Source organism: Homo sapiens, chromosome 17 (genome assembly GCF_000001405.40).
Source record: "Homo sapiens chromosome 17, GRCh38.p14 Primary Assembly".
In the NCBI taxonomy this organism is placed as follows: domain Eukaryota; kingdom Metazoa; phylum Chordata; class Mammalia; order Primates; family Hominidae; genus Homo; species Homo sapiens.
In genome coordinates, this window is record NC_000017.11 from 37,839,264 (window position 1) to 37,862,216 (window position 22,953).

The window sequence follows — 22,953 nt, forward strand, 5'->3', positions numbered from 1 at the left end:
ATGCACGTCTCCCTCCCGTGGGGACATCTACCTGCATTTCCCAGTCTCAGGCTCAGTGTGTTTCATTTCTCCAGCCATGGGGCCCAGCAGGTGTCAGCAGCAAAGCAGAACTGGGTGGGACAGTCCTTCCTGAAGATAAGGCAAAGTGCCCCAGCCCAGAGATCAATCCTGTAAATCCACTTTCAAAGGGCTGAATAAGGTGGGACATCCCTGGTTCCTTCTTCAGCCATAAATCTCTAGGCTCAGATGGTAACTGCCCTCCTCTTGACAAAGCTGTAAAGAGCACGGCATAGCAGCAGTCGGGAAAGAGCATGGACAAGAAAGGTCCTTCGGGTGGGGCAAGGCCCACCTGTCTTGCCCCCTAAGCTTTGCCTCCCTCCCTGCATGGGCTTTGCTGTCTCTGTGGGGACCTGTTGGAGGTTGCAGGGCTTGACTGCCAGTGCCGGAGGCTTCTGTGAGCATCTGTCCTGTAAATACCCAGGCTCCATTCTGCTGCTCAGCCCATGCCGATGCCACCTGACTTCCTGTGAATGAATGGAGCACTGTAAAAGGAGTCCAGCTCGGCTGCCCCCCATGTGACTGTCTAAGAGTCACCTCCCCTCTCGAGGAGGCAGTGGGGTGGGTGGACTAGATGATCCCAGAGGCTGCTTTCAGCTCTAACGCCCCAGTTGCTCCTGTTTTTTGTTTTTTGTTTTTGAGACGGAGTCTCGCTCTGTCGCCCAGGCTGGAGTGCAGTGGTGCAATCTCGGCTCACTGCAAACTTCACCTCTCTGGTTCACACCATTCTCCTGCCTCAGCCTCCTGAGTAGCTGGGACTACAGGCGCCCGCCACCACGCCCGGCTAATTTTTTGTGTTTTTAGTACAGACGGGGTTTCACCGTGTTAGCCAGGATGGTCTCAATCTTCTGACCTTATGATCCGCCTGCCTCGGCCTCCAAAAGTGCTGGGATTACAGGTGTGAGCCACCACGCCCGGCCTCCTGGTTTTTTTTAGACAGAGTCTCTCTCTGTCGCCAGGCTGGAGTGCAATGGCCCGATCTTGGCTCACTGCAACCTTTGCCTCCTGGGTCCAAGTGATTCTCCTGCCTCAGCCTCCTGAGTAAGTGGTATTACAGGTGCCCACCACCATGCCCAGATAATTTTTTGTATTTTTAGTAGAGTTCAAGTTGGCCAGGCTGGTCTTGAGCTCCTGCCCTCAAGTGATCCACCTGCCCTGGCCTCCCAAAGTGCCAGTTGCTCTTTCTGACCCGTTTGAGAGCAAAGCTGTGTGAAGGTTTTCCTCTCAGGTCCTGAATTTTCAAGAAAATCATGTTTGGAAAGACCAGAGTCAAGCATAGTAAAAAATAACAAACTTGAAAATAATGACTCTTTGTGTTTTGATTTCTCCTAAATCCGGCTTCTGTAACTGTACAGTAACAGGGCAGTGCAGGGAACAGCACCGGACAAGAGAGTCTCCAAATCCTTAATTCCATTCTGCCCCGCCCCGGACTAGCAGTGTCATTGGGGTGAGTCATTTTTCCCTCTGTAGGCCTCAGTTTGCTGATCTGTAAAATGGGGATATTTAATGCCTTACAGAGAGCTTGCCATGTGCCTTCTCCAGTACTAAGTAGAGAGACAGGTAAATAAGACAGGATCCTAACTTTTTTTTTTTTTTTTGAGATGGAGTCTCGCTCTGACCCCCAGGCTGAAGTGCAGTGGCATGATCGCGGCTAACTGTAAGCTCCACCTCCCGGGTTCAAGCCATTCTCCTGCCTCAGCCTCCCGAGTAGCTGGGACTACAGGTGCCCACCACCATGCCCGGCTAATTTTTCTGTATTTTTAGTAGAGACGGGGTTTCACCATGTTAGCCAGGATGGTCTTGATCTCCTGACCCTGTGATCCGCCTGCCTTGGCTTCCCAAAGTGCTGGGATTACAGGCGTGAGCCGCCGCGCCAGCCTAATTTTTTTTCAAAATTTTGGTTTTGCTTTAGGAGAATTGCTTGAACCTGAGAGGTGGAGGTTGCAGTGAGCCAAGATTGCATCAGTGCACTCCAGCCCAGGCAACAGTGCAAGACTATGTCAAAAAAAGAAAGAAAGAAAAAGGAAGGAAGGAAGAAAGGAAGGAAGGAAGGAAGGAAAGAAGGAAGGCAGGCAGGCAGTCAGGCAGGCAAGCAGCTTATTTGGGAGGTGATCCCCGGAAACACTGGCAGAGAGAGAAGTCAGGTAGGGAAGTGAAAGCAGTCAATACAGAGTGCAATTTCAAGCCAGCTACCATTATGAGCTTCATCCCAATAAGGAGCTCAACAACTCTATCCAATGACTTCTCTCTCCTTTCCCACAAAACATCTGTGACCAGACACTTGGCTTAACCTCCACATTTCTCTGCATCTTTATATAGCTTCTCCTCCTTTTATGATAACTCAGAGGAGCAGATATCCCCTTCCTCTGAACAAATGCCTCCACTTCAACTCTTCATCTACTCCCTTTCTACCCCTCCAAAACCTTGCTCCGCCAGAGGCCCCCTGCCTTTCTCTACTCCCGCTCCCTCTTCATCCTCATTCCTTGATAACACTTTGCAACCTGACTTTCATTTCCCCTTCTTCCTCCCATGCACTGAGGCTTGGGGGCTTTACTAAGATGCTTTTCCCAGAGGATCCTTCCTCGAGTTTCCGATACACGTCTATCCACCTTGTTTCATAAACAGTCTATTATTATTCACTGCTAAAAAACTCTCATCTCAAAATGTTAAGGATCATCATAGCTACATAACAAAGTTGTGGTAAGGATTCGAGGTTAAATACACTGTCTAGCAGAGCCTGGCACAAAGAGGCAGTCAGTACACAGCAGCAACCAATACCATCACCAAGCTTAATTATTGGAGTTTGCAACCCATGGGTGATCAGGACAGAATATGACAAGAAGGAGAGCTGTTAGAGGCAGAAGAGTAGTAGTTTGGGATCATTTTACAGAACTGCAGGAAGTCAGTGTCACCAGAGTTCTTGAGATTTCCCAGTCTCTTGGACATTGGTGGTGATGGGCGTTCTTAAGGATGACGACTGTAGTTAGAAGAGCTAGTTCCACAATCATCACAACAGTTTTTCCCTCTTAAATAGAAAGTGCTGGTTTTCCATGTCAATACTAAATGTTCAGTAACAACTGGCTGCAGTTGACATTCCCAAGCAAAAGCAGGGGTCAAGCCCTATCCAGTAGAGGAACCAAAGCAGAACCAGCCTTGCGTGGTTGGTCATCCGGCCACTGAACTTTCTGCCACAAAGTCAAAGAGGTTTGGGACTAGCACGAGAATAGAACAGCAGTGGGATGAGTAGACAAGGGAGCCCACACACAGACCCGCAGGAATGTACAAATGAAGTACATGGGCACCGAGGCATTTCAAAGCCGTGAGGAGAGGATGTCTTGATTATTAAATCAATGGTGCAGGGATGATTGACTAAGGGCTTGGAAAGGCATAAAGTTCCCGTCTGTGCCTCACATCCCATGTCCAAATAAGATTCAACGTCTAAAGAGTTACACATCAATCAACCAGAAATTGGAAAACAAGTGCCTGGCTTATTTCACTTAGCATAATGTCCTCCAGGTCCATCCATGTGGTTGCAAATGGCAAGATTCCCTTCTTTTTTAGGGCTGAATGGTATTTTCTTGTATGTATACACCACCATTTCAATAAAGAATTGGTTAAGTGATTGTATATTGATACAATGGACTTTTATATAGTCATGAAAGTCATGTTTTAGAATAGTCAATGCTCATGATCTATTCTTAAGTAAAATAGTAAGCTAAAAAAACATATAGCTCCAGGAGTTGAGCAAGAGAGGCACCCTGCCTGCTGGGCCTGTCTGCTCCCCTGAGTTAGGCACTCCAGGAAGGGGTTGAGAGCATCTGAGTCTTGGGGCCCAGCCCTGAGGCCCTCACTTTCCCTGCCTACTAAGGGGCCCTCAGGAACAAAAGCAGAGCCAAGGAGTTGTACAGCTATAGAGTCCAGTGTGCTCAGCCCCTCAAGTGTGTGATGGAAATAGGCCCAGAGAGGTCAGGTGACCTGCCCAGGGCCTTCCAGCCCTCACACAGCTGGAATCAGGATCCACGGCCCCCAGCCTGGAGCACTGGACATCACATTTCAGGGGAAGTGGGGTGCTGGGCTCACACGTGAGAGGTCTTGCTAGCTGCCAGCCTGGGGCTCACCCGCCTGCTGTCCACCCCTTCAACATCGGTAGTGGGACTCACAGGCACGAGGCTGGGGCCTTCTGCTGCAGACACAAAGCATACCGCCACCTGAGGTCCAGGGTCATGATTCAAAACCTACTAAGTGCCCATCAGTCCTTTCCCAGGTTGAAGGGAAAACAGGACTCCAGCCCCCACATAGTGCCTGGCCACCTGCTGCTCATGAGGCCTTGTCTCCCCATCTTTAGGAAGGCTTTGTGTGTGTGAAAGTTTTTGCATGCACTTGTCTTAAGCATCTTCACGGCCCTGCAAGGTGGGTTTGATTGTCATCCCCATCTTACAGGTGAAACAGGTTTCCAGAGTCTGAGTAGTTTGCCAAGGCGGGGAAGGGGTGATCCAGGACTCAAACCCAGGTCCTCCAACTGCCACTTTCTCTGACTTTCTGGGGGTCAGTAACCCCAGTCCCTTCTCTCCTAGCCTGTCAGAGATTCAGCAGAGACCCCAGGTGGAGGCTCAGTGAGCTCTGGTGTGTGATAGGGACCTGGGGTCTTGTCACTGTCCTGACACCTTATCCTCTAGGTGGCTTTGAAACCATCCGTGTCACTTTGGGCTTCACCAGAGTTGCCAATCCCAGCCTCAAAATTCAGCCACCCCACCCCAACCTCTGGGGGCTGAGGCAAAGACTCTTCTTTTCTCCACAAAGCTAGAATGAGGACCTTCTGGGGGCCTAAGGTAAGAAATGGTCTATTTCTAAAGGGCCTGGTGTCTGGGTAAGCTCTGTGTATTTTCTTACGTTTGCTTTTTGGGGAACTTCATTCAGAGGAGACTTGGCAGCCTCTCTGAAGACACGGAAGTGATCAATGGCAAAGCTGCAAGAGGCTGTAAGCCCCACCTAGCATGACTTCCTCATTAGGCACATGGGGAAACTGAGCCTCAGTGGGTGGAACAGGCCTGCAGGGGCACAGTTGGGACAAGAACTCCGAACTCCAGGGCCCTCTACAGCTCAGGCTGTGCAAATGGGGCTGGTCCCGAAAGACGGTCCGGGCTGATGTGGGGACTGTCAGGCTGTGAGACGGGGCTCACTGGCCAGCCAGCCCAGAGGCAGCGTAGGCGCTCTGGCAGGAGACCCCCCCCAGGAAGTTTCGAAACCTTCAGCAGGATTTCAGAACCGTTCTAGACCCCATGCAGATTGTTTCTCTGTTAAAGAAGGCGCTTTAAGAAGCTGCCGAAGAGGCTCTGCCTTTGACCGTCAACAGGCATCTTTCCTCTAGTCCATCAGCCCACAAAGACAGGAAATCTGATGGGGGGAAAAACAAATAAAGTCATGCCAAAGTCGGGTGTCAGTAACCAGGGGGGCCGCCTGAGGCGTCGCATCCAACCCCCGCCCAGGTTTCCGCCCCGGGCCAGCAGTAGCCAGTCCCCGAGGGCCCATCTTCCAGCCCTGAAGCGGTAAACGCCTCACCTCTAGTGGCGAGTGCGAGGAACCGCACCCTAGCCCGCCTGACTGTCCAGCCCCGGGTGGTGCCCATCCTGCCTGTTGTTCCCTCTCAAACCAAATAAACCTCCCGACGTATGGACTCTGGCTGTCGTAGATGCAGACTCTCCTGCAATGCTTAACACCGTTTTGCTACCACGTGACGGCTGCAGACACTGTCCTCAAACTGCAGCCCCACAACGCAATTTTTGTACTTTCATCTGACATACCCGAAGGTGTCCTTTTTAAGTCTTGTTAATATTCATAATGACGTATAATCCAAAGTAAATGGAAATGTCATATTGTGATTGCAATGGAAACGGCATATTGCGACTGCATTGCCTTGGCGAGACTGTCGTCCTAACAGATTTTGAGGGGGCGGGGATGGTGGCTCACGCCTGTAATCTCAGCACTTTGGGAAGCCAAGTTGGGAGGTTCACTTGAAACCAGGAGTTCGAGCCCAGCCTGGCCAACATGGAGAAACCCGTCTGTACAAAAAAAACAGAAAACAAACAAAAAAAAACACAAAACCAATTAGCCGGGTGTGGTGGCACGCACCTGTAGTCCCAGCTGCATTAGAACTGAAGATGGCTCCCCATCTCATACACGGTGAAAGCCAGTCTTTATCAAGTTCTACATGTAGCTGGTGCAGTGTTTCACACCTGTAATCCCAGCACTCAGCACTTTGGGAGGCTGTGGTGGGTTTCACTTGAGCCTGGGAGATAGAGGCTGCAGTGAACCGAGATCACTGCATTCCAGCCTGGGTGACAGAGTGAGACCCTGTCTTAACAAAAGAGACTTGGAGGGGCTGGAGGGGAAGGTGGAAAGGCAGAGGAAAAGGCAACTGGAACTTAGGGTATGGTCTTGTTACTCTTCACCAGGAACCATTTGAGGTAGGCCCCCAAGTTACAGATGGGGAAACTGAGGCCCAGAGAGGTTAAAATACTTGTGCAGAATCACACAGCTGGCTGATGACAGAAGCACGACGCAAACTGAGGCCTCCCAAGACTTTCTGCACCAGGACCAGCCAGCCATGCTGTTACCTACTCATTCAACAAACAGCTGTGGAGTATTGACTCTAACGTCAGTCCCTGCCTGGGCCCCTGAGAGACAGTCATCAGGGAGATCATCTATGAAGACACAATAATGGTATGTTAGAAGGTGACCAGTAGCAAAAACTATGAGCATAAAGGAACTGGGTGGGCAGGCAAGGTTATGCTTAATAGGCAGGTCGGGCGGGCCTCAAGGTAAGTGTTGAGCTAAGACTTGGAGGGGCGGAAGGGAGCAATGGGGACACCTGGGGAAAAGGTTCTGAAGGCAGAGCCATGCTTGGCATGACTGAGGAAAAGCAAAGTGGCCAATGTGGCCAGAGCAGGATGGGGCAAGGGAAGAACAATGGATGGGGGCAGAGGATCGGACCCAAGTCATGTAGAAACTTTTTTTTTTTTTTGAGACAGGTTCTCATTGTATCTCCCAGGCTGGAGTGCAGTGGTGTGATCATGGCTCACTGCGGCCTTGACCTCCTGCTTTAGCCTCCTGAGTAGATGAGACTAGGCATGTGTCATCATGCCTGGCTATTCTTTTAATTTTTATTTCGCAGAGATGGGGTTTTGCTATGTTACCCAGGCTGGCCTTGAACTCCTGGGCTCGTGCAATCCCACCACAGCCTCCTAAAGTGCTGAGTGCTGGGATTACAGGCGTGAACCACTGCACCAGCTACATGTAGAACTTTATAAAGACTGTTGCTTTCACTATGCGTGAGATGGGAAGCCGTCTTGAGTTCTAAAAGACGCCCAGTAGAAGACAAACCTGTCATCTGGGGCAGGTCAGCAGGCCCAGGTTGAAGGTCCCTCTGTTGGGGGCCTGCCAGAGGGTCTGGCCTTCAAGGCCCAAATGGCATCCAGTATCCAGGGTGGCGGCAGCTCGGTCCCCACCAGATCCCTCTGCAGCATGACTCCGCTGAAGGTTCTGGCTGCCGACTCCCTTAGGAAGCCCCTGTGTGCTGGCCCAACTCTCCAGGCCTCCAGCTCATTCTCTGAACCACCTGACACCCCTTCCCATGCATTCCTTTTCTGCTTATGTTAACCAGAGTGGGATACTGTTGTTTGTGACAAACAGCCCCGCTTGGTACTCTGACGTGATCTATCGTCCAGGTCTCAACTCAAGTGCCCCTGTGAGGCCTGCCCTGCCAACCCCAGGCACTTCCACATCTCCCTGCTTTCTGTTCTTCAGGGCGTTCATCACCAAAAGCATCTTGTGTAGTTATTTCTTCCTTTCTCTCACCACTAACCTTCATGAGAGTAGGGGCCATACCCACCATTACCCCCAGTAACCCCAGGGCCTACACCAAGGCTGAGGGAACAGGAGCCTGCTAATGAGTATTTGTTGAACAAATGGGTAAAAGCTGCTGATGTGGACGTTTTATGAAAGGAGTCGAAGCCATGTGTCTAGAGCGTCAGTTCTGATGATGTTGGGTCCAAGCCCAGATGTGCGTGTGCAAGAGCCTCGGTTCAGCTCCAGAAGACTCCTGGGGTACAGATGAGAAAGGACCCCAGGGACCACTGGCTTATCCTGAACAGAAAAAGGGAGAGAGGAGGCCAGGCGCAGTGGCTCACGCCTATAATCCCAGCACTTTAAGAGGCCAAGACAGGAGAATAATTTGAGCCCAGGAGTTCAAGAAGAGCCTGGGCAACATATCGAGGTTGCATCTCTACAAAAAATTAAAAAAATAGAAATTAGCAAAGCCTGGTAGCACATGCCTGTGGTCCCAGCTACTCTGAAGGCTGAGGCGGGAGGATCACTTGAGCCTGGGAATTCAAGGCTGCAACGAGCTATGATCGCACCACTGCACTCCAGCCTGGGAGATAGAATGAGACGCCGTCTCAAAAACAGAAAAAAGAAACAGCCTTATTGAGGAATAACTGATATGCACAGAACTGCACGTGGTTAATGTGTACAATTTGGTAAGTCTGGACATTTGCAAACACCCATGATACTGTCACTACCCTGAGGGAATAGACATAGCCAACACCTCCCCAAGTTTCCTTGTGTCTCTTTGGTTTTGGTTTTGTTTTGGGTTTTCCCGTGTGTGGTAACAACACAACAAGAGACCTACCCACTTAACAGATTTTGAAATGTACAGCATTGTTATTCATAGGCCCTGTGTTGTACAGCAGATCTCTAGAACGTATTCCTCTAGCATAACTGAAACTTTACACCCATGGAAAAACTCCCCGTTTTGCCCACCCTCCAGCCCCTGCTAACCACTATTGTATACACTGCTTCTGTGAGTTTCACTGTTGTAGATACCTCATAAAAATGGAACCATGCGGCCGGGCGCGGTGGCTCACGCCTGTAATCCTAGCACTTTGTGATTGGGAGGCCGAGGTGGGCAGATCACGAGGTCAGGAGATCAAGACCATCTTGGCTAACACGATGAAACCCCATCTCTACTAAAAATACAAAAAATTAGCCGGACGTGGTGGCGGGCACCTGAAGTCCCAGCTACTCAAGAGGCTGAGGCAGGAGAATGGCGTGAACCGGGGAGGCGGAGCTTGCAGTGAGCCAAGATCGCGCCACTGCACTCCAGCCTGGGCGACAGAGCGAGACTCCGTCTCAAAAAAAGAAAAAAAGGAACCATGCAGTATTTGTCCTTCTGTGCCTGGCTTATTGCACTTGGCATAATGTCCTCCAGGTCCATCCATGTAGCTGCAAAAGGCAAGATTCCCTTCTTTTTTTGGGGTTGAATGTTATTGTCTTGTATGTCTCTACCACCATTTCTTTACCCATTAATCTGTAACTGACGCTTGAGTTGTCACAACACACTTTCTAGGCTGATCCATCAGTACATGGGTGATGCAAAATGGTAGCCTCCGGTCACAATAGCTGACATCTTTGATTCCAGCACTTTGGGAGACTGAAGCAGGTGGATCAGTTGAGCCCAGGAGTTCACGATCAGCCTGGGCAATACGGCAAAACCGCGTCTCTACGAAAAATACAAAAAACTAGCCGGGTATGGTGGCATCCACCTTTGGTACCAGCTACTCAGGAGGCTGAGGTAGGAGGACCGCTTGAGTCTGGGGGACAGAGGCTGCAGTGAGCCGATAGCGCACCACTGTACTCCAGCCTGGGCAACGGAGTGAGATCCTGTCTCAAAAATTACACTACAATACACTACACTACACTACACTACACTACACTACACTACAATACTAAAATAAAATAAAATAAAATAAAATAAAATAAAATAAATAAAATAAAATAATAAAATAAAATAAAATAAAATCGGTGGCCTCAACCCCAAGTGTGAGTGGCTTTTCAGTTTGGCTCTCCAGGGCTGCTCAGGAGCATTTCCTGTATCTCTTAATTTAGCTTCTCAGGAGAGAAATGACAGCACAAGTTATGACTCATCTCCTTAAGTCAAGTGTCAGTGATGTGGTGACATCACATGGTAAAACCATGGCTATGGGCAAGGCACACAAAGCCAGACGTGTCTTTCCCAGGAAGTCCCTGACCCAGTGGGAAAGGAAGAAGGGAGAGGTGGCAGCCAATGGAAAGAAGGGGCAGGAGCCAAGCAGGGCCACAGGACCCGAAGCAGAAATGATTCAGAAAGCAAAGACTAATAAACAGCCAATAGCAAGACACTTAAAAAAAAAAAAAGAGAGAAATGACCTACATGACCAAGAAAGGGTGAATAAATTTCACTATGGCCATCTGAAGGCTAGAAAGTTATGCAGCCATTGCTGTTTAATGATGAATAATGGTGTGGTATCTTGCAAATGTGTAGGGAACACAGAAGGATGAAAATTGAGTTTAGACTGAGTTCTTTTTCTTTTCTTTGAGACAAGGTCTTGCTCTGTTGCCCAGGCTGGAGTGCAGTGATGCAATCATAGCTTATTTCAAGCTTGAATTCCTTGGATTCAGGCGATCCTCCTGCCTCGGCGCCCCACCCAGAGTAGCTGGGACCACAAGTGTGCACCACCATGCCTGGCTGAGTTTTATTTTACTTTTTGTAAAGATGGGATCTCACTATGTTGCCCAAGCTGGTCTCAAATTCCTGGATTCAAACCATTCTCCCTCCACCATGAGCCACCGCCCTGGTGTGATCAGTGATGTGGAGCTTCTTTTCATGTGTGCTTGTCTTCTTTGGGGAAATGTCTAAGCCTTTTGCCCAGTTTTGAATTGGCTTCCTTGTTTTTGTAATTGTTGAGTTGTAGGAGTTTTTTTAATATGTTCTAGATATTAATCCCTCATTATACATACAATTTGCAAATATCTTCTCTCATTCTGTCAGTTGTCTTTTCACACTTTTTTTGGTCTTTTCTTTTGAGATAGGGTCTCACTCTGTCACCCATGTTGGAGTGCGGTGGTGTAATCATGGCTCACTGCAGCCTCGACCTCTTGGGCTCAAGTGGTCCTCCCACCTCAGCCTCCCAAGTAGCTGGGACTACAGGCACATGCCACCATGCCCAGCTAATTTTTTATTTTTTATTTTTTTTTATTTATAGAGATGGGGGTCTCCCTGTGTTGCCCAGGCTGGTCTCAAAACTCCTGGGAACAACTGATCTTCCCACCTTGGCATTCCAAAATGCTGGGATTTACAGGCATGAGCCACCACACCTGGCCTCTTGTCACTCTCTTCATAGTGTTTTTTGATGAAAGTTCTTCAACTGATGAAGATCAATTTATCTATTTTCTTGTGTTGCCTGTGCTTTGGGTGTTATATCCAAGAAAACATTGCTGAATCCCATGTTTTCAAGGGTTTCCCCTATGTTTTCTTCTAAGAGTTTCATGATTTTAGCTCCTATGTTTTTGATCCATTTTGAGTTAAATTTATATATGGTGTATGGTAAGAGTCCTACTTCATTCTTTTACATATACTCAGTTTTCTCAGCACTGTTTATTGAAAAGATTGTTTTTCCCCCCATTAAATGGTCTTGGCACATCTCTCTTTCCTTTCTTTCTTTTCTTTTCTCTGTCTATTTCCTCCCTCCCTCCCTTCCTTCCTTCTCTCTTTCCTTCTCTCTTTCTCTGTCTTTCTATCTCTCTCTCTCTCTCTCTCGTCTCACTTTGTCACCCGGGCTGAAGTACAGTGGAGTGATCTTGGCTCACTGCAACCTCAACTCTCTCTCTTTCTTTCTCAAGAGTCTCACTCTGTCACCCAGGCTGGAGTGCAGTGGAATAATCTCGGCTCACTGCAACTTGAACCTTCCAGCTTCAAGTGATTCTCGTGCCTCAGCTTCTCGAGTATCTAGGATTACAGGCATGCGCCGCCACGCCTGGCTAATTTTTGTATTTTTGGTAAAGACAAGGTTTTGCCATATTGGCCAGGGTGGTCTCAAACTCCTGACCACAAGTGATCCTCCTGCCTCAGCCTCCCAAAGTATTAGGATTACTGGTGTGAGCCACTGTGCCCAGCACATCTTGGCACCCTTTTCAAAACTCAACTGACCACTGACGTGAGGGTTTGTTTCTGGGCCCTCTATTTCACCCCATTGATCTAGATATCTGTCCTTATGCTAGTATCACAGTTTTTGGTTTTTCTTTTCCTTTTTTTTTTTTTTTGAAACAGAGTCTCACTCTGTCACCCAGGCTGGAATGCAGCGGCGTGATCTTGGCTCACTACAACCTCTGCCTCCTGGGTTCAAGTGACTCTCCTGCCTCAGCCTCCCGAGTAGCTGGAATTACAGGTGCACGCCACCATGCCCAGCTATTTTGTATTTGTAATAGAGATGGAGTTTCACCATGTTGGCCAGGCTGGTCTCGAACTCCTGACCTCAAGAGATGCACCCACCTGGGCCTCCCAAAGTGCTGGGATTACAGGTGTGAGCCACTGCACCCAGCCTGTTTTGTTTTTTTGAGACAGGAGTCTCACTGTTGCCCAGGTAGAGTGCAGTGGCATGATCTCAGCTCACTGAAAGCTCTGCCTCCCGGGTTCACGCCATTCTCCTGCCTCAGCCTCCTGACTAGCTGGGACTACAGGTGCCCACCACCACGCCTGGCAAATTTTTTTGTATTTTTAGTAGAAACGAGGTTTCACTGTGTTAGCCAGGATGGTCTCGATCTCCTGACCTTGTGATCCACCTGCCTTGGCCTCCCAAAGTGCTGGGATTACAGGCGTGAGCCACTACGCCCGGCCAAGTTCTCCAACTCTTCTTCTTTTTCACAATTGTTTTGATTATTCAGGGAGGGTGCCTTGAAATTCCCTATGAGGTTTAGAACGAGTTTTCTATTTCAGAAAGAAAATCAAACATGCCATTGGAATATTCAGAACGATTACATTGAATCTGTAGATTGCTTTGGATAGTCTTGACACATCATAATAATATTAAGTCTTCCTTCATAAACATAGGATGTCTTTCATTTATTTATGTCTTCTTTAATTACTTTCAGCAAGGTTTTATCATTTTCAGTGTGTGAGTCTTTCACCTTCTTGGATAAATTTATTGTAAAGTGCCTTATTCTTTTTGATGCTATTACAATGATTTTCTTTTCTCTGGACTGTTTATTGCTATCGTATATAAATGCAACTGATTTTTGCGCTTTGCTGAATTGGTTTATTTGCTCTAACAATTTTTTGTAGAATCTTTATGGTTCTCTACATAGAAAATCAATGGGCAAACAGAGATAATTTTTCTTCTTGGCCAGGTGCAGTGGCTCATGCCTATAATCCCAGCACTTTGGGAGGTGAGGTCAAGCTGATAGCTTCAGTCCAGGAGTTCGAGACCAGCCTGGCCAACACAGTGAAACCCCATCTACTAAAAATACAAAAAAAAAAAATCAGCCAGGTGAGGTGGCACGCACCTGTAGTACCAGCTACTTGGGAGGCTGAGGCAGAAGAATCGCTTGAACCCAGGAGGCAGAGGTTGCAGTGAGCCGAGATCGCACCACTGCACTCCAGCCTGGGAGACAGAGTGAGACTCCATCTCAAAAAGAAAAAAACAAAAAGCAATATCAACAAAGCAAAATGACAGCCTACCAAACAGGAGAAAATACTCACAAAGAGATTACTATCTGGGATAGATAAAGAACTCCAAACACTCAAACAAAAAAACAAATTCAAAAATGGGCAAAAAGGCCAGGTGCAGTGGCTCATACCTGTAGTGCCAGCATTTTGGGAGGCTGAGGCAGGAGGATCACTTTGGGCCAGGAGTTCAAGACCAGCCTAGACAACATAGCGAGACCCTGCCTCTACAAAAAAAAATTAAAAATGAGCCAGGCATGGTGGCACGAGCCTCTAGTGCCAGCTACTTGGGAGGCTCAGGCAGGAGAATCACCTGAGTCCAGGAAGTTAAGGCTGCAGTGAGCTATGATTGCACCACTGCAAGGACAGAATAAGATCCTGTGTCTTAAAAGAAAGTAATTATCTGTTCCACTTCCACTCCCAGGTGGAATTGAAACAAGAACTCAAGCAAATAGTGCACCAATGTTCATAGCACCATTAGTCACACAATAGGAAAAGGTGAAAAGAAACTCACTGTCCATCAAAAGTTCAATGGCTAAACGATGTGTGAAAAATACATAAAATGGATTATTATTCAGTCATAAAAAGGACTGAAGCTCTGATCCACGCTTAATATTAACAAAACATTGAAAGCATTATGCTAACTGAAATAAAGACAGCCACAAGGCACAAATATTATATGATCCCTCTTCTATGAGGTATCTAAAATGGGCCAATTCATAGGGACAAAGTAAAATAGAGGTTACTGGCAGCTGGGGAGGGGGAAATGAAGAGTTATTGTTTAATGGCTATAGTTTGTTTTGTGTGAGTGAAGAAAAAGTTTTCACATAGTGGTGGTGTTTACACAACACTATTGATGTACTTGGTGCCACTGAACTGTACATTTCAAAATGGCTATAATGATAAACTTTATGTATATTTTGTCACAACTTTTTAAAAGTAAAAAGTTATATACATATAAATATTCCTTAAATTTGTATCTACATTATCAAAAACTGGGAACAAGCTGAAGTATAAAAGGGGGAACAATTTAACACACATCAGTAAGAATGAAACTTGTTTATGCTAAAACAGAAAATATAAAATGATGTTTGCTAGGAGAATAACTATTAAAAACATGCCCACAAAGACTGAACACTAATATACAAAAATTAAGATAATTCTATTATAATTTTCTCTCATTTCCTTCCTCTAGTTATATTAACATGTTAGATTTCTTTTCAGTCTACTAACAACAACAATATGCCACATCAAAATAATTATCCTGACTGCTAAGCTACTGGGTTGAGATAGGTCTGTTTTAATACAAAGCAGCTTCAACTAAGAGCCTAGGAATTACTACGCAGCCAGGCCTACAAAGGCAGTCCCAAGAAACAAGACGGAACACTCAAATGGCTATCCTTCTTCACTTTCACACTGACAGCTTGTGTTCTTCCCCACATCTTACCTGAAGGCAGGGTCAGGGAAATTCAGAATTTCACAGGAGAATATGGAAAAATTGAGAGCAAGACATAAATGAATGGGATGCATTGGTGAAAGTTCTCTTACTGCAATATCACTAGCAGCTTTGTAAGCCACCAAGCTGTTCTCTGCCACCTCCTTCCTGTCATTTCCTGTGGCAAATTCTGCCAGATACCTGTGGTAGACCCCTTTCCTACAGCAAAATTAAAAAAAAAAATTAAACCAGGAACAATGATTTTTAAAGTAAAAGAGCTAAAATTGTTCTATATAATATAAAATATGTGACAAAAAATATACGTAACAATTAACAAGTGTACTTCAATAATTTTAAACACTCAGGAATATTTGGCTTCATTTCATTTTTTTCTTAGACATTTCATACTATTTTCCTTATTAAATGTAACCAAAAATCCCACAGAGATTAACTGAGGAGCCTCTAAATATCAGCAAAACTATCGCTTGATAGACTAGAATTAAACAAGCAAGTGGTTCCAAGAAATGGCACAAGTGTATTAATCATAAAATAAAATTTCTACATGAAACATTCAGCCAGCACTGTGCAATATGTGGCCATTTAGGGGAGGGGAATGAGATAGGTCCCATGAAAGCAAAACAATATAAATAAGTAAAGCAAAAGCTAATGCATTTTTATAATAGCCTGACCATCTTTTTATTCCAACATCAACTATCCTTCTAACATTAAACAATTATTTGTAAATAAAAGTTGGAAACCTACATAGAAGAAAGTCATGATTCTAAAAAGGCCAACTTTTAATCTTACATTTTCCTTTCTAGTATAGAACCTACATTTCATAATAGAAAACCTTGGACTTGCCAGTGGTAGCTGCTGGAATGAGGTGTTTGTCCAGTGCATCCAGAACATCGCCGCAGATTAACTTTAGCTCAGTCTCAACCTGAAAAAATAAAGATAAATTTTAAAAAATCAGACTGTTTCAGTCTAGAAATTCTGTAAATTTATTACACATTCTATCTACCTCTGGTTTTGAGGAAGAGAGCTTAGTGTTACAGAGAATTCATTTCCCTCTCCAAACTCCCTTCCTCCCTTTTGACACAAAAGCAGAGAAAAGCTGCCTGTCGGTTATCAAAAGTATCTTTTCCTTCCTGCCTGCAATTAAGTGCTACACACACACCACCCCCCACCCCAATACCCCCTCACAGTCCAACTGCAGAATCACCAATGACTGAAACTAAACACTGATGCTACTTGGTAAACGCTGGTCAATTACATGAATCTTTCACAAGGTAGCAACTATTGTATCCATTTACTGGGAAAGCAGAACCTAAGACATTTGCTCAAAGATCATCACCTTAAAAGAACTTAATAAGCAGAGCTAGGATTTGAAACCAGGCAGGGTGCAAGGGACAGAACAAAATTCAAACCCAGGCAATTTGCCTTCAGTACTTACATTCCTAACAACGTTGAACAGGCAATCCCTTTAGTGGAAGAGACCAAAACTAGTTAAGATACCAAAAATCTATGGACCAAAAAAACTACTGCCACTCATCTCTATTCATTTATAATGCTGAAAATGTACAGCACCTCTAAACGCACATACCCAGCTTGCTTCCTTTTTTTTTTTTTTTTTTGAGACGGAGTTTTGCTTTGTCCCTCAGGCTGGAGTGCAATGGCACCATCTCAGCTTACTGCAAGCTCTGCCTCCCGGGTTCACACCATTCTCCTGCCTCAGCCTCCCGAGTAGCTGGGACTACAGGCGCCACCACCATGCCCGGCTATTTTTTTTTTTTTTTTTTTTGTATTTTTAGTAGAGACAGGGTTTCACCATGTTAGCCAAGATGGCCTCGATCTCCTGTCCCCGTGATCCTCCCACCTCGGCCTCCCAAAGTGCTGAGATTACAGGCATGAGCCACTGCACCCAGCCTGGGTTTTTTTTTTTTTTTTTTTTTTGAGACAGGAGTCTCACTCTGCTGCCCAGGCTAGAGTGCAGTGGCGTGATTTCATATATGATGTTTATTCTAATAACAGCAAAAGGGGGAAGAGGGCAATGGAGCTTTACAGGAGAAAACTGCTTTCTGCAAGTCTTTATCTTTTTGCAGGTAAAAAGTCCTGCCTCAGTGTTGATGGCTTCTGACTCACTGAGGTGGTGGTTGTGGCACTTTCACTTCACTGTTTTTGTTTTGTTTTGTTTTGTTTTTAGTAGAGACAAGGTCTTGCTTTGTTGCCCTGGGTGGTCTCAAACTCCTGGCTTCAAGCAATCCTACTGTCTTTGAAAAGGTTGTGATTAATGAACTTCCAGCCCTTTTTTAAAATAACAATAAAAGTGGCTACATCAATTGACTCTTCCTTTCATAAAACACTGCTCTGTAGCATGTGCTGCTGTTTGACAGCATTTTACCTACAGTAAAACTCTCTTCAAAATTGGGGCCAATTCTCTGAAACCTTGCTGCCACTTTATCAACTAAGTATAGGGCATATTCTACATCCTTTGTTGTCATTTCAACAATGTTTACACCATCTTCACAGGAAATAGATTCCATCTCAGGAAAGCACTTTCTTTGTTCATCTATGAGAAGACATTCTTTCAAGTTTGACCATGAGATTGCAGCAATTCAGTCACATCTTCAGGCTCCACTTCTAATTCTAGCTCTCTTGCTACTGGCCACCACATCTGCAGCCTCCATCAAAGTCTTGAATCTCTCAGTCATCCATGAAGGACAGAATCAACTTCTTTTCAAATTCCCGTTCATGTTGATATTTTGACCTCCTCCCATAAAACACAAATGTTCTTAATGGTACCTAGAATGGTGAATTCTTTCCAGAAAGTTTTCAATGTACTTTGCCCAGATCCATCAGAGGAATCACCCTCTATATAGCAGCCATAGCCTTTCAAAATGTATTTCTTAAATAATAAGACTTTTATATCAAATTGTCTCCTGGATCCACGGACTGCAGGATGGATGTTGTGTTAGCAGGCACGAAAAGAACATTTTCTTATACATCTTCATCAGAGCTCCTAGGTGACTATGTGCATTGTCAAAGGGTTACTAATTGGCCTACATTCAATATTGCTGTGTCTTAAGGAATAGGGAGGCCTGAGGAGAGTAGAGAGAGATGAGGGAACAGCCAGCTAGTACAGCAGTCAGAACACTTACAACATTTATTAACTTCACCTCATAGTAATATCAAAGGTCACTGATCATACATAACCATAACAGATATAATAATGAAAATGTGTGAAATATTATGAGAATTTTAAAAAGGGACAAAGAGCCACTAAGTGAGCACATGCTGTTGGAAAAATGAAACTGATAGACTTGCTTACTCCAGGGTTGCCACAAACCTTCAATTTGGTAAAAAAAAAAAAAAAACCATGCAATTCCTGTCAAGTACAATAAATAGGAGCCCAATAAAATGAGATATGCTTAAGAAAAAAAAGATATGCTTATACATCTTACTACAATTAAGTACAGTCTAGCAAGATAAAGATAGTAAGCCCTACAACAACCACTAAGAAAATAACCCAAGAAAAATCGTTTTAAAAATCATAAAGAAGGCCAGGCCAGTGAGCCAAACACCTGTACTTCCCAGCACTTTGGGAGACTGAAGCAGGAGGATAGCTTGAGCCCAGGAGTTTGACACCAGCCTGGGCAACATAACCCGTCACTGCAAACAAGAAAAAACTTAGGCATGATGGCATGTTGTTGCGGGAATTCAGGGACCCCGAACGGAGGGACCGGCTGAAGCCATGGCAGAAGAACATAAATTGTGAAGATTTCATGGACATTTATTAGTTCCCCAAATTAATACTTTTATAATTTCTTACGCCTGTCTTTACTGCAATCTCTGAACATAAATTGTGAAGATTTAATGGACATTTATCACTTCCCCAATCAATACTCTTGTGATTTCCTATGCCTGTCTTTACTTAATCTCTTAATCCTGTCATCTTCGTAAACTGAGGATGAATGTTGCCTCAGGACCCTGTGATGGTTGTGTTAACTGCACAAATTGTTGGTAGAGCACGTGTGTTTGAACTGTATGAAATCTGGGCACCTTGAAAAAAGAACAGGATAACAGCGATGTTCAGGGAACAAAGGAGATAACCTTAAAGTCTGGCGGCCTGTGGGCCGGGCGGAAGAGAGCCATATTTCTCTTCTTTCAAAAGCAAATAGGAGAAATATTGCTGAATTCTTTTTCTCAGCAAGGAGCATCCCTGAGAAAGAGAATGCATTCCTAAGGGGGGGGTCTCTAAAATGGCCGTTTTGGGAACGTTTGTCTTTTATTGTTGTTGATAAGGGATGAAATAAGCCCCAGTCTTCCGCAGCGCTCCCAGGCTTATTAGGACAAGGAAATTCCCGCCTTATAAATTTTGGTCAGACTGGTTGTCTGCTCTCAAACCCTGTCTCCTGATAAGATGTTATCAATGACAATGTGTGCCCGAAACTTCATTAGCAATTTTAATTTCACCCCGGTCCTGTGATCTCGCCCTGCCTCCATTTGCCTTGTGATATTGTATTACCTTGTGAAGCATGTGATGTCTGTGACCCACACCTTATTCGTACACTCCCTCCCCTTTTGAAAGTCACTCATAACAACTTGCTGGTTTTGCAGCTTAGGGGGCATCACGGAACCTGCCGACATCGGATGTCTCCCCCGGACACCCAGCTTTAAAATTTCTCTCTTTTGTACTGTTTCCCTTTATTTCTCAGACCGGCTGACATTTAGGGAAAATAGAAAAGAACTCATGTGAAATATCATGGGCTGAATTTCCCCTGACAACGTGGCAGTAGTCCCTGCTGCTTGTGAGGCTGAGCAGGGAGGATCACTTGAACCTGGGAGGTTGATGTTGCAGTGACCATGACAGTGCCACTGCACTCCAGACAGGGTGACAGAGCAAGACCCTATCTCAAAAATAAAATAAAAGGGCAGCGGCAGCAAGACACAACTCCCAGTCAGCCACACCATCATGAGACTAAACAACCAATGCTTGCTTGACCAGTGAACCATGTAGCCAGATGATTTTTTCCCAATTGTAGGCTAATGTAAGTGTTCTGAGCATGTTTAATGTAGGCTAGGCTAAGCCAAGGTGTTAGATAAATAAGGTATATTTCTTTCTTTTCTTTTTTTAAAGAGATGGGGTCTCACTATATTGCCTAGGCTGCAGTGAAGTGGCTGTTCACAGGTGCAATAATCACGCACTAAAGCCTCAAAATCCTGGGCTCAAATAATCCTCTTGCCTTACCAGAATGTAATCTGCTCATAACTCAAGAAGCATCTGTACTTAAGATTAAAAAGGTAGAAAAACAAAACAAAACAAAACAGGAACTAAGTAGTCATAAGAAAAAAAAAAAGGGCAGGCTGCCAACCCAGGACCAAGGGGTAAGGCCATGCCAGTGGGCCTAGAGAACAGAATATCAAGCCACAGAGAACTATTTTCAAGTCTCAGAACTGAATGGAATTAGTCCTGCAGACTTATAAACCTGCTTTAAGCCCTTTTTCCTTCCAATTTATCTCTTTTGGAATGGGAATGCTTCTCTGCCTGTCCCACCATTGCATCTCAGAAACAGATAACTTGTTTTCTATGTATCACAGGTTTAGAAATAGAAGGATTTTTTTTTCTCTTTTTTTTAAGACAGAGTCTCACTCTGGCCACCCAGGCTGGAGTGCAATGGCGCAATCTCAGCTCACTGCAACCTCTGCCTCCCAGGTTCAAGCAGCTCTCCTGCCTCAGCCTCCCGAGTAGCTGGGACTACAGGCATGTGCCACCACACCCGGCTACTTTTTGTATTTTTAGTAGAGACAGGGTTTTACTGTGTTAGCCAGGCTGGTCTTCAACTCCTGACCTCAGGTAAGCTGCCTGCCTCAGCCTCCTAAAGTGCTGAGATTACAGGCGTGAGCCACCATGCCCAGCAGAGATAGAAATTTTGCTTCAGGATTAACCAACGTCTTAACCCATCGCCAATTCAGATGATTCAGAAGTTGAGATTTGGGACTTTCTGAGTTTATTCTATTCAGGTAAGATGTGAGACTTACTTATAGAGTTTACATCAAAATAGATTAACACTTTTGGGGGATACTGGGATACAGCACATCTATTCTGTATGTGGAAAGAACACAAATTCTGGGGGGACCAGAAGGCAGACTGCTATGGGTTGAATTGTGGTCCCCAAGAAATGTATGTGAAGTCCTTAACCCCCAGTATCTTAGAGAGTAACTTCATTTGGAAAAAGGATCATTGCAAATGTAATTAGGATGAGGTCACATGATGGAGTAGGGCAGGCCCCTAATCCAATATGACTGATCTCCTAATAAGAAGATGGCCATATGGAGACAGAGACAAAGGAAGAATGGAATGTGAAGACAGAAGCAGAGATTAGGGTGATTAAAAAAAAAAAAAAAACGTGCCAATCATTGACACCCATCACCAGAAGCTAGGAGGCATGGAAGAGATTTCCCTTAATAGTTCTCAGAAGGATGCAACCCAGCTGATATCTTGACTTCAGACTTGTAGCCTCCTTAATCGTGAGAAGAAATTTCTGCTGCTTTAAGCCACCCAGTTTGTGATATTTTGTTACAGCAGCCCTAGGAAACTACTACAGGGGGTGTATGAAGAATTGGCTATGAGCTGTTCATGTTTTAGAATCGGTTGATGAATGTACGCAGGGTGTTTGTTATATTGTTGTTTACTGTTTTATATATTTGACAATTTCAGAAATAAATTCTTTTTTTTTTTTTTTGAGATGGAGTCTCGCTTTGTGGCTCAGGCTGGAGTGCAGTGGTGTGATCTCGGCTCACTGCAAGCTCCGCCTCCTGGGTTCACACCATTCTCCTGCCTCAGCCTCCCAAGTAGCTGGGACTATAGGCACCCACCACTATGCCTGGCTAATTTTTTTGTATTTTTAGTAGAGACAGAGTTTCACCATGTTAGCCAGGATGGTCTCGATCTCCTGACCTTGTGATCCGCCCATCTTGGCCTCTCAAAGTGCTGGGATTACAGGCGTGAGCCACTGCGCCTGGCTCAGAAATAAATTCTTAATAAACAAAACAATGTCATAATAAGTAGAGTAAGTATTAAAGCTTTAAAAAGCAGAAGCAAACAAATTAGAAAACAGTGGAATAAAGTTGGAAATAGGCCCCAAAGCTGTTCTTTATATCAGGTATAAAAGAAATCGATCAATGCCAGCACAGCGGCTCGCACCTGTAATCCCAGCACTTTCAGAGGCCAAGGTGGGCAAATCACCTGATATCAGGAATTCGAGACCAGCCTGGCCAACATGGTGAAACCCCGCCTCTACTAAAAATACAAAAAAAAAATTAGCTGAGTATGGTGGTAGACACCTATAATCCTAGCTACTCGGGAGGCTGAGACAGGAGAGTGGCTTGAACTCGCGGGGAGGAGGTTGTAGTGAGCCAAGATTGCACCACTGCACTCCAGCCTGGGCAACAGAGTGAGACTCCATCTCAAAACAAAAGAAAAAAATTTTTTGGTTAAGAGTTTAGATAAAGGAAAAAACTCCATTTAAATGTTTGTGTGAAGAAAACCATAATGGATTACATGGCACAACAACAGTTTCAAAAAATTAAAACCAATTTGTAAACATTAATCATCACGGTTACTTATATGCCCTTAAAAATGATCTATATGCTCCTAGTGTCACATAAGACACGTTAATCTAGGAGTCTACTTCACTCAGACTTTTTGCAACTAACATGCATTCTTTGTTTCTTCATCACTGTGGGGAAGAGGTGGTACATACAAAAGGTTCTTGACATAACCCTATAAAAAGATGATCACATGGTGTATTATCTGGGAATTTAAATGGTCACAATTCCAGGATACGTCAATGCTATCAACTTTAAAAAAAAAATAAATTTGACCTATAATGGGGGGGCCAGCAGGGGGTAGGGGAGAAAGAGGCAA

The 22,953-nt window shown here is 45.1% G+C and overlaps 1 pseudogene across 1 annotated transcript in view, besides 2 other annotated features; it reads right to left on the reverse strand.

The window, feature by feature from the left end:
- Positions 1–3,685: 3,685 nt before the first annotated feature.
- YWHAEP7 (tyrosine 3-monooxygenase/tryptophan 5-monooxygenase activation protein epsilon pseudogene 7) overlaps positions 3,686–22,953 on the reverse strand; it is a 41,795-nt pseudogene continuing 22,527 nt past the window's right edge. The window contains exons 4-7 of the transcript NR_024178.2: positions 15,860–15,966; positions 15,140–15,245; positions 5,859–6,116; positions 3,686–5,451 (exon numbers count right to left, since the gene is read on the reverse strand). The product of NR_024178.2 is annotated as a tyrosine 3-monooxygenase/tryptophan 5-monooxygenase activation protein epsilon pseudogene 7 (transcript). The remainder of the gene's footprint in view (positions 5,452–5,858; positions 6,117–15,139; positions 15,246–15,859; positions 15,967–22,953) is intronic.
- Positions 4,094–4,593: an enhancer, noted in NCBI's record as "H3K4me1 hESC enhancer chr17:36202981-36203480 (GRCh37/hg19 assembly coordinates)". NCBI's record gives its function as "activates a minimal SCP1, AML or CMV promoter by ChIP-STARR-seq in primed H9 embryonic stem cells {active_cell/tissue: H9 hESC(primed)}" and the evidence as "EXISTENCE:reporter gene assay evidence [ECO:0000049][PMID:30033119]".
- Positions 4,929–5,429: an enhancer, noted in NCBI's record as "H3K4me1 hESC enhancer chr17:36203816-36204316 (GRCh37/hg19 assembly coordinates)". NCBI's record gives its function as "activates a minimal SCP1, AML or CMV promoter by ChIP-STARR-seq in primed H9 embryonic stem cells {active_cell/tissue: H9 hESC(primed)}" and the evidence as "EXISTENCE:reporter gene assay evidence [ECO:0000049][PMID:30033119]".